Below are 15,671 nucleotides of genomic sequence, written 5' to 3'. Positions count from 1 at the left end.
TCTTGCTCTTTAGCCCAGGCTGGAGTGCAGTGGCGCTATTCTCGGCTCACTGCAAGCTCCGCCTCCCAGGTTCACGCCATTCTCCTGCCTCAGTCTCCCGAGTAGCTGGGACTACAGGTGCCCGCCACCACACTGGCTAATTTTTTGTGTTTTTAGTAGAGATGGGGTTTCACCATGTTAGCCAGGATGGTCTCAATCTCCTGACCTCGTGATCCGCCCACCTTAGCCTCCCAAAGTGCTGGGATTACAGGTGTGAGCCACCCGGCCTTTTTTTTTTTTTTTTTTTTTTTTTGAGACGAAGTCTCACTCTTGTCCCCCAGGCTGGAGTGCAAAGGCGCAATCTCGGCTCACTACAACCTCCACCTCCCGGGTTCAGGCAATTCTCCTGCCTCAACCCCTGGAGTAGCTGGGATTACAGGTGCCTGCCACCAGGCCTGGCTAATTTTTGTATTTTTAGTAGAGATGGGGTTTTACCATGTTGGCCAGGCTGGTCTAGAACTCCTGGCCTCAGGTGATCCACCCGCCTTGGCCTCCCAAAGTGCTGGGATTACAGGCGTGAGCCACCGCACCCAGCCAACTCTGTTTCTTAAAAAAAACCTCAAAAACATGACACTCGGGATCTTCAGCAGGCCAGTGTGGAACCCTGGACTCTTTCCAACTCCCGTGTGAGCTTCACGCTGCTGGGACGGGGACCCAGCACTGAGTTCTCACAAATTCAAAGGCTGTTGTTAGAAGTAACATTTGCAGGCCGGGCGCGGTGGCTCATGCCTGTAATCCCAGCACTTTGGGAGGCTGAGGCGGGTGGATAACCTGAGGTCAGGAGTTCAAGACCAGCCTGGCCAACTTGGTGAAACTTCGTCTGTACTAAAAATACAAAAATTAGCAGGGTGTGGTGGTAGGTTCCTATAATCCCAGCTACTCGGGAGCTGAGGCAGGAGAATTGCTTGAACCCAGGAGGCAGAGGATGCAGTGAGCTGAGATCGCACCACTGCACTCCAGCCTGGGTGACAGAGTGAGGCTCTATTCCAGAAAAAAAAAAAAAAGAAGTAACATTTGCAGGCTGCACATGGTGGCTGGTGGCTTTTACTTATAATCCTAGCACTTGGGGAGGCCAAGGCAGGAGACCCCTTGAGCTCAGGACTTCAAGACCCACCCCCTGGTGTCTACAAAAAGTCAAAGAAGGCGGGGCACAGTGGCTCACGCCTGTAATCCCAGCATTTTGGGAGGCCAAGGCGGGCAGATCACGACGTCAGGAGATTGAGACCATCCTGGCTAACATGGGGAAACCCCTTCTTTATTAAAAATACAAAAAATTAGCCAGGCATGGTGGCATGTGACTGTAGTCCCAGCTACTTGGGAGGCTGAGGCAGAAGAATTTCTTGAACCCGGGAGGCGGAGGTTGCAGTGAGCCAAGATCACACCACTGTACTGCAGCCTGGGAGACAAAGCAAGATTCCATCTCAAAAAAAAAGAGAAAAACAAAATTAGCTGGGCGGGGTGGTCGGTGCCTGTAATCCCAGCTACTCAGGAGTCTAAGGCAGGAGAATCGCTTGAACCAGGGAGCCAATGGTTGCAGTGAGCCGAGATTGGGCCATTGCACTCTAGCCTGGGCGATAGAGCAAGACTCAGTCTCAAAAAAAAAAAAAAAAAAAAGAAATACAAAATGAGCCGGATGTGCTCACTTGAACCCATGTGGCGGAGGTTGCAGTGAGCCGAGATGCCACTGCAACACAGCCGGAGCAAGAGTGAGTCTCCATCTCAAAAGAAAAAGAAAAATAAGCTTTTAAGTCAAATAACAAAATAATAACAACAAGACGAGGGTTGGATAGAGGGTGTCTCTTGGGTGGAGACCACACCTCCTCCCGAATGCCTACTCTCACTGCCCTCTTCTTGGGCCCTTTTTTTTTTTTTTTTTTTGAGACGGAGTCTTGCTCTGTCACCAGGCTGGAGTGCAGTGGCATGATCTTGGCTCACTGAAACCTTCGCCTCCCATGTTTAAGTGATTCTCCTGCCTCAGCCTCCAGAGTAGCTGGGACTACAGGCACCCACCACCACACCCAGCTAATTTTTGTATTTTTGGTAGAGATGAGGTTTCACCATGTTGGCCAGGATAGTCTCCATCTCTTGACCTCGTGATCTGCCCACCTCGGCCTCCCAAAGCGCTGGGATTACAGGCGTGAGCCACGGCGCCTGGCCTCTCGGGCCTTCTTGAAGCCAGGTCTCCCATTTCTAGGCCTCAACACGTGCCCAATGCCTGGAACCCCCTCCATCCTCCAGTCACTTATTCCACCGCATTCACCCCGCAGACCTCTGCCAGTCAGTTCCTCAGGCTCTGAGACCCCCAGATCAGAGCTGGGTCCCCCATCATGCATTCCTGGGCACTCTAGCCTCCACTGTCAAAGGACAGTTCTGGGATTCTGGCTGGCTGGTGCAGTGCTGGCTTCTGCGTCCTACAAAGAATTTGCGTGGAGTGGAGAAATGCTCTGTTATGGGTTGAATGGGTCTCCTCCAATTCATATGTTCAAGTCCTAACCCCCAGCATGTCAAAACGTGACTGTGTTTGGAAAGAGCGTGTTTAAAGGGGTAATTAAAGTAAAATGAGGTCATATTTGTGAGCTCTAATTCAATGACAATAAGAAATTAGGACACTTGGCCGGGCACTGTGTCTCATGCCTGTAATCTCAACAATTTAACACTTTGGGAGGCTATGGTGGGAGGATCCTTTGGGCCCGGAGTTTGAGAGCAAACTGGGCAACATAGCAAGACCCCCATCTCTATAAAAAAAATTTTTTTTCTTTGAGACGGAGTCTCACTCTGTTGCCCAGGTTGGAGCGCAATGGCACGATCTTGGCTCACTGCAACCTCCACCTCCCAGGTTCAAGCATTTCTGCCTCAGCCTCCTGAGTAGCTGGGATTACAGGCATCTGCCACCATGTCCAGCTAATTTTTGTATTTTTAGTAGAGACGGGGTTTTGCCATGTTGGCCAGGCTGATCTCAAACTCCTGACCTCAGGTGTTCTGCCCGCCTCAGCCGCCCAAAGTCCTGGGATTACAGGCGTGAGCCACCATACCCAGCCCAAATTTTTTTTTTTTTTTTTTTGTGACTGAGTCTCTGACTATCGCCCAGGCTGGAGTACAGTGGCGCAATCTCGGCTCACTGCAACCTCCACCAGCCGGGTTCAAGCGATTCTCCTGCCGCAGCCTCCTATGTCGGACGTGGGATACAGAATGAGCATCCATCTCAAGAAAAAAAAAAAAAAAAAACTGTATAGGGGCCGGGCGTGTGGCTCACGCTTGTAATCCCAGCACTTGGGAGGCCGAGGTGGGCATGGAGGTGCGCATCTGTAATCCCAGCTACTTGGGAGGCTGAGGCAGGAGAATCGCTGGAGCCCGGGAGGTGGAGGCTTCAGTAAGCCAAGATTATGCCATTGCACTCCAGCCTGGGTGACAGAGTGAGACCTCATCTCAAGAACACAACATACCGTTGGACTCCCAAAGTGCTAGGCCTCCTCTCACATAGGAAGGCCCCATCTCTATGAAATAAAAAACTTAGCTGAGCATAGTGATACACGCCTGCAGTGCTAGCTACTTGAAGGCCGAGGCAGGAGGGTTGCTTGACCTCAGGAGTTTGAGGGCACAGTAAGTCAAGATTGCAACACTGCACTCCAGCCTGGGCAACAAAGCAAGACTCTGTCTCAAAAAAGAGAGCAGGGCAGGCGCAGTGGCCCACGCCTGTAATCCCAAGAACTTTGGGAGGGTGAGATGGGAGGATCGCTTGAGCTCAGGAATTTGAGAGACCAATCTGGGCAACAGGGCGATCCTGTCTCTACCAAATTTTTTTTAATTTTATTTATTTATTTATTTTTTTGAGGCTCAGTCTCGCACTGTCACTCAGGCTGCAGTGCAGTGGCGCTATCTTGGCTCACTACAAGCTCTGCCTCCCGGGTTCATGCCATTCTTCTGCCTCAGCATCCAAAGTAGCTGGGACTACAGGCGCCCACCACCACGCCCAGATAATTTTTTTGTATTTTTAGTAGAGACGGGGTTTCACCGTGTTAGCCAGGATGGTCTCGATCTCCTGACCTCGTGATCCACCCACCTCGGCCTCCCAAAGTGCTGGGATTACAGGCGTGAGCCACCGCGCCCAGCCATTTTTTTTAAATTGGCTGTGCGTGGTGGCATACTTGTAGTTCCACTTACTCACAGGGCTGAGGTGGGAGGACCCTGTGAGCCCAGGCATTCGAAGCTTCAATGAGCCAAGATCACATGGCAACACTTCGGTCTGGGTGACGGAGACCCTGTCTCAGAAAACAAAAACAGACTGGGCACAGTGGCTTACACTTATAATCCCAGCACATTGGGAGACCGAGGCAGGCGGGTCACTTGAGGTCAGGGGTTCAAGACCAGCCTGGCCAACATGGTGAAACCCTGTCACTATTAAAAATACAAAAACTAGCTGGGCATGGTGTAGTCCCAGCTGTTCGGGAGGCTGAGGTGGGAGAATTGCTTGAACCTGGGAAGTGGGGGTTGCAGTGACTTAAGACTGTGCCACTGCACTCCAGCCTGGGTGACAGAACGAGACTCTGTCTCAAAACAAAACAAAATAAAACCAACAAAAACAGAACCAAAGAAAGAAGGGAGAACATTTGAGAAGCTTCCATCCCAACCTGCCCCAAATCACTGGTGGGCTTATCTGTGCCTTCTAGGTCCTTCTGGAGAGAATGCAGCTTGTTCCAAACATTAATGCGCAGATATGCTTTTTTTTTTGAGACATGGTCTTGCTCTGTCGCCCATGCTGGAGCCTACCTCAACCTCCAGAAAAGCTGGGACTGCAGCCACACGGCACCCTGCCCGCCAAGATTTTTGTTTGGTTCGTGACCTTTCTTTATTTTTTCTTATCTTCCCCCATGCAGCCCAGCATTTTTTTTTTTTTTTTTTTTTTTTTGAGACAGAGTTTCGCTCTTGTTACCCTATGTTGTCCAGACTGGTCAAGATCCTCCTGACTCAGCCTTCCAAAGCACTAGGATTACATGTATGAGCCCCTGCGCCCAGCCACATCATGTATTTTACATATTAGTCAGCCAGGTATGGTAGCTCACACATTGAGAGGTCACAGCGGGCAGATCACTTGAACCCAGGACTACAAGACCAGCCTGGGCGACATGATGAAACCTCATCTCTACAAAAAATACAAAAATTAGTTGGGCATCGTGGCGTGTGCCTGGAACCTCAGCTACTCAGGAGGTTAAGGTGGGAGAATCACTTAAACCCAGGAGGCGGAGGTTACACTGAGCTGAGATCGCACCACTGCACTCCAGCCTGGGTGACAGAGTGAGATTCTGTCTCAAAAAATTTTTTAAATAAAAATAGGCAATGCATGGCGGCTCACGCCTGTAATCCCAGCACTTTGGGAGGCTGAAGCAGACGGATCACAAGGTCAGAAGATTGAGACCATCATGGCTAACACGGTGAAACCGTGTTTCTACTAAAAATACAAAAAATTAGCCAGGCCTGGTGGCACGCACCTGTAGTCCCAGCTACTCGGGAGGCTGAGGCAGGAGAATCATTTGAACCTGGGAGGCAGAGGTTACAGTGAGCTAAGATTGAGCCAATGCACTCCAGCCTGGGTGACAGAGCGAGACTCCATCTCAAGAAAGAAAATTTAAAAATTTTTAAAAATTAAAAATATAACTAAAAAGGTCGGTGCAGTGGCTCATGCCTGTAATCCCAGCACTTTGAGAGGCTGAGGTGGGCAGATCACCTGAGGTCAGGAGGTAGAGAGCAGCCTGACTAACATATAGTGAAACCTTGTCTCTACTAAAAAATACAAAAATTAGGCCAGGCGCAGTGGCTCACACCTGTAATCCCAGCACTTTGAGAGGCCAAGGCGGGCAGATTGCCTGAGGTCAGCAGTTTAAGACCAGTCTGGCCAACGTGGTGAAACCCCGTCTCTACTAAAAATACAAAAATTAGCTGAGTGTGGTGGCGCATGCCTGTAGTCACAGCTACGTGGGAGGCTGAGGCAGGAGAATCGCTTGAACCCAGGAGGCAGAGGTTGCAGTGAGCCAAAATTGCATCACTGCACTCCAGCCTGGTGACAAAGTGAGACTCTGTCTCAAATTAAAAAAAAAAGAAAGAAAGAAAAGAAAAGAAAATTAGCCGGGTGTGGTGGTGTGCACCTGTAATCCCAGCTACTCAGGAGGCTGAGGCAGGGGAATTGCTTGAACCAGGGAGGTGGAGGTTGCAGTGAGCCAAGATTGTGCCATGGTACTCCAGCCTGGGCAACAGGAGACTGTGTCTCAAAAAAAAAAAAAAATTAGTTGGGCATGGCACACGCCTATAGTCCCAGCTGCTTGGGAAATTGAGGCAGGAGAATCGCTTGAACCTGGAAGGCAGAGGTTGCAGTGAGCTGAGATTGCCCCATTCTACTCCAGCCTGGGTGACAGAGTGAGACTTCGTCTCTCAAAAAAATAAAATAAAATAAAATAAAATAAATAAAATTTAAAAATGAAAAAAATCAAACCAAATAAAATTAATCAACCAACACCCATTCTATTTAAGGTTCCAAAAGGAAGTAGCTGGACCCGGCTGCAGAGCACACTCCCACCTTGCTTCTGTCCCAAAAGTACATCCCCTACGTGTGGTTCTCCTTAAACAATTTTAATGTCTGGGTTGGGGAAGCAGGTAGAGCGCGTAGAGGCAGCTGCTAGAGGCTGGTTGCTGACTCCAGGCCGCGTTCCAGGAAATATCGGTGGGAAGAACGGGGACGGGCTTGGGACCCTTCATTGAGGAAGTAGGATGTGATCTTCCTGAGTCCCTCCTGATTCTCGGATGCTGAGTCCTCCCTGTGGGAGAGAGGTGATGACAGTGACCACTTACACAGGGAGCAACCCTCTCAGGCAGGGCTGAACGCTGGCCTCCCTCCTTCCTTCCCTATAGCACCCCCAGGACATCCATGACACCCACCATATAACATCTTCCGCCTCTTTCTCCAGGATGGTCTGGGCCGTGCGCCAGCTGAACCGGACAAACTGGGGGAAGCCGAACACAGGCTCCACGTGCTCCTTCAACCACGCTTTTGTCTTGGGATCTGGGGTAGGGTGGGCAATGGTGACAGTCCAAGTTGCACCATAACATTCAAGCTCCCTGCCACTCTTTTTTTTTTCTTTGAGATGGAGTCCCACTCTGTAGCCAGGCTGGAGTGCAGTGGCGCGATCTCAGCTCACTGCAACCTCCACCTCCCGGATTCAAGCGATTCTCCTGCCTCAGCCTCCCAAGTAGCTGGGACTACAGGCGCATGCCACCATGCCCAGCTAAATTTTGTGTTTTTAGTAGTGACGAGGTTTCACCATGTTGGCCAGGATGGTCTCAATTGCTTGACCTCGTGATCTACCCCCCTCGGCCTCCCAAAGTGCTGGGATTACAGGCATGAGCCACCACGCCCGGCCTCCTTGCCGCTCTTCTAAGGCTTCCTCCTGAGTACCTGGGGCACCTCCTATGGTCTGAAGCACCTTCTTGCCACAGGACCTTTACCTGGCCAAGAGCTGCTAAAAGGGCAGTGCAGGGAGACTGCCTCTGAGACATCTCCTTGACCTCCAAGAACAAGTCATTAAACATTTTTATTTTATTTACTTATTTTTTGAAATGGAGTCTTGCTCTGTCACCCAGGCTGTAGTGCAATGGTGCGATCTCGGCTCACTGCAACCTCCGCCTCCCAGGTTCAAGCGATTCTCCTGCCTCAGCCTCCCAAGTAGCTGGGACTACAGCCACCCACCACCATACCTGGCTAATTTTTGTATTTTTAGTAGAGACGGGGTTTCACCATATTGGACAGGCAGGCTGGTCTCAAACTCCTGACCTCAGGTGATCCACCCACCTCAGCCTCCCAAAGTGCTGGGATTACAGGTGTAAACACCACACCCAGCCTTTTTATTTTTTTGAGATAGGGTCTCGCTCTATTACCCAGGCTGGAGTGCAGTGACATTATCACAGCTCAATGCAACCTCTGCCTCCCAGGCTCAAGCCATCCTCTCACCTCAGCCTCCCAAGTAGCTGGGACTACAGGTGCGCACCACCACACCTAATTTTTGTATTTTTTGTAGAGATGGGGTCTTGTCATATTGCCCAGGCTGGTTGTGAATTCCTGAGTTCACATGATCTACCTGCCTCTGTCTCTTAAAATGCTAGGATTACGGGCATGAGCCACCTGGCCCAGCCTGTCATTAAATATTATTATTATTATTATTATTATTATTTTGAGATGGAATTTTGCTCATTTCCCAGGCTGGAGTGCAATTATGCGATCTCGGCTCACTGCAACCTCCACCTCCCAGGTTTAAGTAATTCTCCTGCCTCAGCCTCCCGAGTTGCTGGGATTACGGGCGTGTGCCACCACGTCCAGCTAATTTTGTATTTTTAGTAGAGATGGGGTTTCACCACGTTGGTCAGGCTGGTCTAGAACTCCTGACCTCAAAGGATCCACCTGCCTCAGCCTCCCAAAGTCCTGGGATTACAGGTGTGAGCCACCACGCCTGGCTAACATTATTTTTTTTTTTGACACAAGATCTCATCTTGTCACCAAGGCTGGAGTGCAGTGGCATAATCATAGCTCACTGCAGCCTCCAACTCCTGGGCTCAAGCAACCCACCCACCTTAGCCTCCTCCTCCAGAGTAGCTGGGACTACAGGTGGGCACCACTATAACCGGCTAATTTTTTAAATTTTTTATAGAGATGGGGGTCTCGCTATGTTGCCCAGGCTGGTCTTGAACTCGAGGACTCAAGCGGTTCTCCTACCTCAGCTTCCCAAAGTGCTGGGATTACAGGCATGAGCCACCACGCCTGGTCCCCTTCCCCTTAACAAAGGGACAAATGCCCACCTTGGGTCTCAGTCCATCACTGGGGCTCCAGAAAGACAGCAAAGTGGGAAGCGGGGAAGACAGCAGCAATCCTATGGCCTGGAATTCAGCTCTATCACTCACTGGCTGTGTGGCCATAAACAAATGGCACCACTGTCTAACACTTGGCCTCTTTCACTGTGGAGTAGGGTGACCAGAGCAATTTAGAAAACCTCCAGCCAGGCACAGTAGTTCACACCTGTAATCCTAGCTATTTGGGAGTCCAAGGCAGGAGGATCACTTAAGCCCAGGAATTCAAGACCAGGCTGGGCAACATAGGGAGACCCCATCTCTTTAAAAAAAGAAGAAAAAAAGGGCCAGGGGTGGTGGCTCATGGCTGTAATCCCAGCACTTTGAAAGACCAAGGTGGGAGGACTGCTTGACTCCAGGAATTTGAGACCAGCCTGGGCAACATGACAAGACCCCATCTCTATAAAAACAAAAAATAGGCTGGGCACGGTGGCTCATGCCTGTAATCCCAGCACTTTGGGAGGCTGAGCCAGGCAGATCACCTGAGGTCAGGAGTTCAAGACCAGCCTGACCAACATGGAGAAAACTAGTCTCTACTAAAAACACAAAATTAGCTGGGTGTGGTGGCACATGCCTGTAATCCCAGCTACTCGCGAGGCTGAGGCAGGAGAATCGCTTGAAGCCAGGAGGTGGAGGTTGCGGTGAGCCGAGATCGCACCATTACACTCCAGCCTGGGCAAAAAGAGCGAAACTCCGTCTCAAAAAATAAACAAAAATAACAAATAAAAACAAAAAATAAGCAAAATAAAATGATAAATGACAGAAAGGAAAAAAAGAAAACCTCAGAAGTGTGCTCAGCCCTGGCCATTTCAACATTAGTACCATGGTCACGTGTCTGCTCACCATTGGGGTAGCCTGAGCCATAATCAGTATCCAAGTCCTGCAGTTTCTCCACGAACTGCCATTTCTTCACGGCCTGGTCCCGGGCCACCTGTGGGCAAAACAGGCACCTGGAATCTCCCTCCTTCCCTTTGGTGGCCATGCCTGGCCCCTATATAGTGGGATGGTGGAAGCCAGCCATGGCTAGTAGGGTACTGACCTTGGCACAGATGCTGGCAGCACTAACCACCGGGTAGAGGGCATCTGCTTTGGCCTTGACCGTCACCTCAATCCCGGGAAAACTTTGCTGCAGCCGCGCCTGGTATGTCTCTGGCATCCCTACGGTGTCCACGAATACCTGCCACAGCAACAGACACATATTAATTGAACAAACAACTGTACCAATGCTCTAGCCTCACAGCCCTGGCACGTTCTTCCTGCTACCCAGAATCCTCTTCTCCAGCACGTCCCCAGGATGGATCAATCAGGGATTTCAACTCGAACATCTCCTCCTAGACCAGGCAAAGTTGTTCAGGCCTGTGATCCCAGCACTTTGGGAGGCTGAGGCGGGAGGATCGCTTGATCCTGGGAGTTTGAGGCCAGGCTTGGCAACACAGTGAGACCCCATCTTTATAAAAACATAAAATAAATACAATAAAATAAAGAAAAAACTCACCTCCTGAAGAGGCTTTCTCTATCACGCTGCTTTTACTCTAACTTATTTAGCACCTACTGCATGCCACATACTGTTCTAGGAACTGAGGTGGCAGAAAACACTAGAAAAAAATTGGTAGAGTGCGTTAGCACAAGCCTGTAATCCCAACACTTTAGGAAGCCGAAGTGGGAGGATCGCTTGAGGGCAGGTGGTTGAGACCAACCTGGGCAACATATGGAGACCCTGTTTCTACAAAAAATAAAAAGTTAGCTAGGTGTAGTGGTGAATAAAGGCTTGAAGGAGGTGAGGAAGTGAACTGTGCAGAGATCTGGGGAAGAGGGCTCTAGGTGTGAGAACAGCCAGTACAAAGGCCCTGAGCTGGGACCAGGTTCATGATGCTGGGCCCATGCATGGGGGCCTTTGGCTGCAGCACCGAAGAGAGGGTCCAAGAGCTGCTGGGGGAAAGTGGTATCTCCACAGCACTACTGTTTTCAGAAACAACCTTTATTTTTTGTTTACCAGCTGACCATCTTTCATGTTTTATTTTTTTATTTTTTATTTTTAGTAGAGATGGGGTTTCACCATGTTGGTCAGGCTGGTCTCGAACTCCTGACCTGATGATCCGCCCGCCTCGGCCTCCCAAAGTGCTGGGATTACAGGCGTGAGCTACTGCGCCCAACCTCCAGCTGACCATCTTTCTGCCCAGGCTAGGCCCTGAACGCCTACGGGTAGGGCCCTTGTCTGTCTACACCAGTTACTGTATCGCCAGCTCTGCATTTGGGCCTGGTCCTCAGGTCCCTCCTCAGCAGGGTCTACCTTGCTATAATTCCTTTCTTTCTTCTTCTTTTTGTGGAGATGGAGTCTCGCTATGTTGCCCAGGCTGGTCTGGAACTCCTAGCCTCAACCAATTTGCTCACCTCAGCTTCCCAAAGTGCTGGGATTACAGGCGTGAGCCACCATACCCAGCATACAATTCCTACGTCAAGGTTATTTTGCCTTGTTATTCTCTCAGAACGGTCCATTCTTTCATTGAGAGCATTCGAGGCAATGCTGATTTATGTTTTTCTCTGGTAATTTAATGTAATTCTGCCCCACTCGACTGTGAATTTTCCTGATTTAATTTCCACTGTGATCGGAAAACTAAATGTCGAGATGTGCATTTCAAAAAGACTACCTTCTGTTGCTGCTTGGGGAACAGATTGGAGGGGATAGGAGGGTGAGGGACGAGAGACGACACTCAGCAGGTGTCCAGGGAGTGGGGGGTGTCCTGGGCTAGGACAGAGGTGACAGGTAGACAATGTAGGATTTGTTCTGGAGACTGAGCCTTTAGGATGAGGGAGAGATTAGATGGAGACGGGACTAGGGGCTACACTGTGGTCGTCAGTGTGGCACACATTTAGGGCAGAAACAGGAGCACGAAATCAACAGTAGCAATGAATATGCCCGAGGCACTCCAGACGTATCTGATGCTGAATCTGCACACTGCACATTTTTGCCCACATTTATTTTTTATTTTATTTTTATTTTTATTTTTCGCTCTGTCCCCCAGGCTGGAGTGCAATGGCGCGATCTCACCTCACTGCAACCTCCGCCTCCCGGGTTCGAGCAATTCTTCTGCCTCGGCCTCACCAATAGGTGGGATTACAGGCACCCGCCACCATGCTGGGCTAATTTTTTGTATTTTCAGTAGAGATGAGGTTTCACCATGTTGGCCAGGATGGTCTTCAACTCCTGACCTCAGGTGATCTGCCTGCCTCAGCCTCCTGAAACGCTGGGATTACAGCCGTGAGCCACTGCGCCTGGTCTCCCATTTTTAGTTTATTTTTTATTTTTTATTTTTTTGAGACAGGGTCTTGCTCTGTTGCCCGGGTTGGAGTGCAATGGCACAATCTTGGCTCACTGCAACTTCTGCCTCCTGGGTTCAAGCGATTCTCCTGTCTCAGCCTCCTGAGTAGCTAGGATTACAGGCGCCTGCCACCACGTCCAGCTAATTTTTGTATTTTTAGTAGAGACGGGGTTTCACCATGTTGGTCAGGCTGGTCTCGAACTCTTGACCTCCGGTGATCTACCCGCCGCGGCTTCCCAAAGTGCTGCGATTATAGGCGTGAGCCACTGCGCCCTGCCTCCATTTTTGAGTTGGGGGGCTTCCTTTGTCACCCAGGATGGAGTGCTGTGGCATGATCATGGCTCACTGCAGTCTCGAACTCCTGTTTTGTCCCCATTTTATCCTGAGATGACCAAATGGGGACAACTTACAGTTAACTCACCTGGGTGACGTTCACGCCCTGGTCCAATGCATACTGTATAAGCCCAGTGGCTGTATCATGTGACAGGGAGTTCAGGTTGTATTTGACCCTGTGGTGGGGAACAGAGCCCAGTTAATCTCATTCTAGGAACAAAGCTTGGTCAGCCCATGCTGGCTGCCCCTCCCGGGGACCCCTCACCGCCCAAGCATGCTGGTAGAGATGAGGTTTGGAGACAGCACATCCAGCGCCCAGCCGACAAAGTCCGTGTCCTCCATTTTCGCAAACAGCCTTTCCCGCTCGCTCTCCAATAGGGTCTTTGAGTCTGGGAGGAGGTTTGGAAGAGAAGGGGAACAGCTGGTTCTCCCAGTTCCTGCCCTCCCCTTTCAGTTCTCACCTGCCCCTGCACATACCCAGGAATCCCTTCCCCAGACGCACACCTCGGGCTCACCTGCCACTTTCAGCGCCTCCAGATCTGCCAGGCGAGGCAGGGGACAATAACAGATGGCGTAGACCATGGGGCCTGGGGAGAAGGGGTGTCAGTTTTCTGGCAGCCGGGGTCCAATCACTGAGCCCGTGAAAGTTGCCATTCATCCCTGTTCTATCATCACTGCTTCTTTAGGTGCCATCACCACGACCACATCCCCTCCCTTGGTGCAGTGCAATCCCGACTCCCGTTTCCCGCATCCTCCGTACCACGCCCCTCCCCTCCCTGGCCCTAGGGGCGCACCCAGCACGGGGCCCCTGCCCGCCTCATCGACGCCCAGGACGCAAGGCTCCTTGCGGCACACCGCGGGCACAGGCGAACTCAGGCGACAGCGGCCTGTATTGTCTCTCTCCAGCTCGCTGAGATCCATGCCGCCTCAGCCGCCACCACCAGCTGCAAGAACTAATACTGCAGGAGCGGGTCTCGGCGCGCGTTTTCCGCGGGCCTCGAAGCGGCGCCTGCTTCCGGCCAATCCGCGGGCAGAACACGCCCCTGGCGCTCCCGCCGCCGTGGACGCTTACGCAGCCGACGCCGACGTCGCTGCCGTGCGCCCTCCTGGGAATTGTAGTCCCGAAGGGCTATGGCCGAACACTCAGCTTGGGGAATTCGGTGGACGGGGTCACTTTGCAAGCTCTGCTTCACGGTCTCTGGGGCCCCGCCTGCGTGGCCCGGTGGGAAGAGGGGGAAATAAGAGGGAAACTGAGACGTAGCTTCGAAGACCCAGCCTAACGGGGAACTAGAGAGTCAAATATCACCCCACTCCCAGGACACGGGTCACCGCATCACTGGGTCCCCAACTGCCACTTGGATTCAGGCCCTGTACTTGCGGTCCCTGCTTCTGTACACATTCTAAGTCCCCTGGACCAGGTAGCCCCGCTTCCACTAAACCCAGGCTTTTGGATTTGGAGTCCCCAAACTCCCTCTCTTGGTTGCTCCCTTCGGCCCACCTCCACTCCGTGCAAGATCTGTGCTTCCTAACCTCTGTCTCATTCAGGCCAAGCCTTCCCCACCCCCGTTGGAGATCACAGACCTCGGTGGACTCCTGCTCAGGGTCTCTGCTCCCTATAGAAGCTCATTCCTCCCAACTTAGAATGAATGTCCCCACCCCCACCCCTCGACCCACTTTTTTTTTTTCTTTTTTTTTTTTTTGAGACAGAGTCTCGCTCTTGTCGCCCAGGCTGGAGTGCAATGGCGCCATCTCCGCTCACTGCAAGCTCCGCGTCCCGGGTTCACGCCATTCTCCTGCCTCAGTCTCCCGAATAGCTGGGACTACAGGCGCCCGCCACCACACCCGGCTAATTTTTTGTACTTTTTAGTAGAGATGGGGTTTCACCGTGTTAGCCAGGTTGGTCTCGATTTCCTGACCTTGTGATCCGCCCGCCTCGGCCTCCCAAAGTGTTGGGATTGCAGGCGTGAGCCACCGCACCCGGCCTTCTTTTTTTTTTAGACAGGGTCTCTCTCTGTTGTCCAGGCTGGAGTGCAGTGGCGCGATCTTGGCTCACTGCAACCTCCACCTCCTGGGCTGACGCGATCCTCCCACCTCAGTCTCCCAAGCAGCTGGACTACAGGTGCACACCACACCACCATGCCCGACTATTTTTGGTATTTTTTGTAGAGACGGGGTCTCATTATGTTGCCCAGGCTGGCTTCAAACTCCTGGGCTCAAGCGATCCGGTCGCCTCAGCCTCCCAAAGTGTTGGGATTACAAGCCTGAGCCAGCCACAGTGCCTGGCATCCACCACTTCTATTCCCTGGGCTCACTGGGGCTCATGTCCTCTGCCTGTGGGTTCCCGCCCCTTACCAGGCTCATGCCCCTTCCTCAGGGTCCTAGTTCATTGTCTCTTTATCTCCTTTTACTCCTCTTCGCCTCCCCCTCCACTTTTTTTTTTTTTTTTTTTTTTTTTTTTTTTTTGAGACAGGATGTTACTCTGTTGCCCAGGCTGGATAGCAGTGTAGCGATCTCGGCTTATTGTAACCTTTGCCTCCCAGGCTCAAGCGATCCTTCCTCCCCATCGTACCGAGTAGCTGGGACCACAGGCATGTGCCGCCACGCTCATCTAACTTAAATGTTTTTGTTTGTTTGTTTGTTTGGTTGGTTTTTTTTGAGACAGAGTCTCGCTCTGTCGCCCAGGCTGGAGTGCAGTGGCGCGATCTCGGCTCACTGCAGGCTCCGCCTCCCGGGTTCATGCCATTCTCCTGCCTCAGCCTCCCGAGTAGCTGGGACTACAGGCGCCCGCCACCGCGCCCAGCTAATTTTTTATATTTTTAGTAGAGACGGGGTTTCACCGTTTTAGCCAGGATGGTCTCGATCTCCTGACCTTGTGATCCGCCTGCCTTGGCCTCCCAAAGTGCTGGGATTGCGGGCGTGAGCCACCGCGCCCGGCCTAATTTTAAAAATTTTTATGGAGAGGTGATCTCAACGATATTGCCCAGACTAATCTTGAACTCCAGGACTCAAGAGATCCGCCTGCCTCGGCCTCCCAAAATGCTGGAATTACAGGCGTGAGCCCCGGCGCCCGGCGCCCCCTCCACTTTTCTCCTT

General features: G+C 51.6%; 1 protein-coding gene across 1 annotated transcript, besides 3 other annotated features; it reads right to left on the bottom strand.

Moving 5' to 3' along the window:
• Positions 6,533 to 13,589, bottom strand: RNASEH2A (ribonuclease H2 subunit A). Its single transcript, NM_006397.3, has 8 exons — positions 13,373 to 13,589; positions 13,094 to 13,165; positions 12,844 to 12,967; positions 12,667 to 12,754; positions 9,965 to 10,102; positions 9,769 to 9,856; positions 6,967 to 7,090; positions 6,533 to 6,845 (listed from the first exon to the last, which is right to left on the bottom strand). The coding sequence occupies exons 1-8, from the start codon at positions 13,497 to 13,499 to the stop codon at positions 6,707 to 6,709; spliced, it is 900 nt and encodes a 299-aa protein (NP_006388.2). The 5' UTR covers positions 13,500 to 13,589; the 3' UTR covers positions 6,533 to 6,706.
• Positions 13,310 to 14,342: a transcriptional cis regulatory region, noted in NCBI's record as "promoter|chr19:12916645-12917677 region (GRCh37/hg19 assembly coordinates) targeted for CRISPR interference". NCBI's record gives its function as "positively regulates PRDX2 gene expression in K562 cells {active_cell/tissue: K562}" and the evidence as "EXISTENCE:mutant phenotype evidence [ECO:0000015][PMID:31784727]".
• Positions 13,486 to 13,535: an enhancer, noted in NCBI's record as "active region_14085". NCBI's record gives its function as "activates an Ori minimal core promoter by ATAC-STARR-seq in GM12878 lymphoblastoid cells {active_cell/tissue: GM12878}" and the evidence as "EXISTENCE:reporter gene assay evidence [ECO:0000049][PMID:35858748]".
• Positions 13,736 to 13,865: an enhancer, noted in NCBI's record as "active region_14084". NCBI's record gives its function as "activates an Ori minimal core promoter by ATAC-STARR-seq in GM12878 lymphoblastoid cells {active_cell/tissue: GM12878}" and the evidence as "EXISTENCE:reporter gene assay evidence [ECO:0000049][PMID:35858748]".

The sequence above is a fragment of the Homo sapiens genome, chromosome 19 (genome assembly GCF_000001405.40).
Source record: "Homo sapiens chromosome 19, GRCh38.p14 Primary Assembly".
NCBI classification, from domain to species: domain Eukaryota; kingdom Metazoa; phylum Chordata; class Mammalia; order Primates; family Hominidae; genus Homo; species Homo sapiens.
This window is presented reverse-complemented; position numbering and strand designations above follow the sequence as displayed.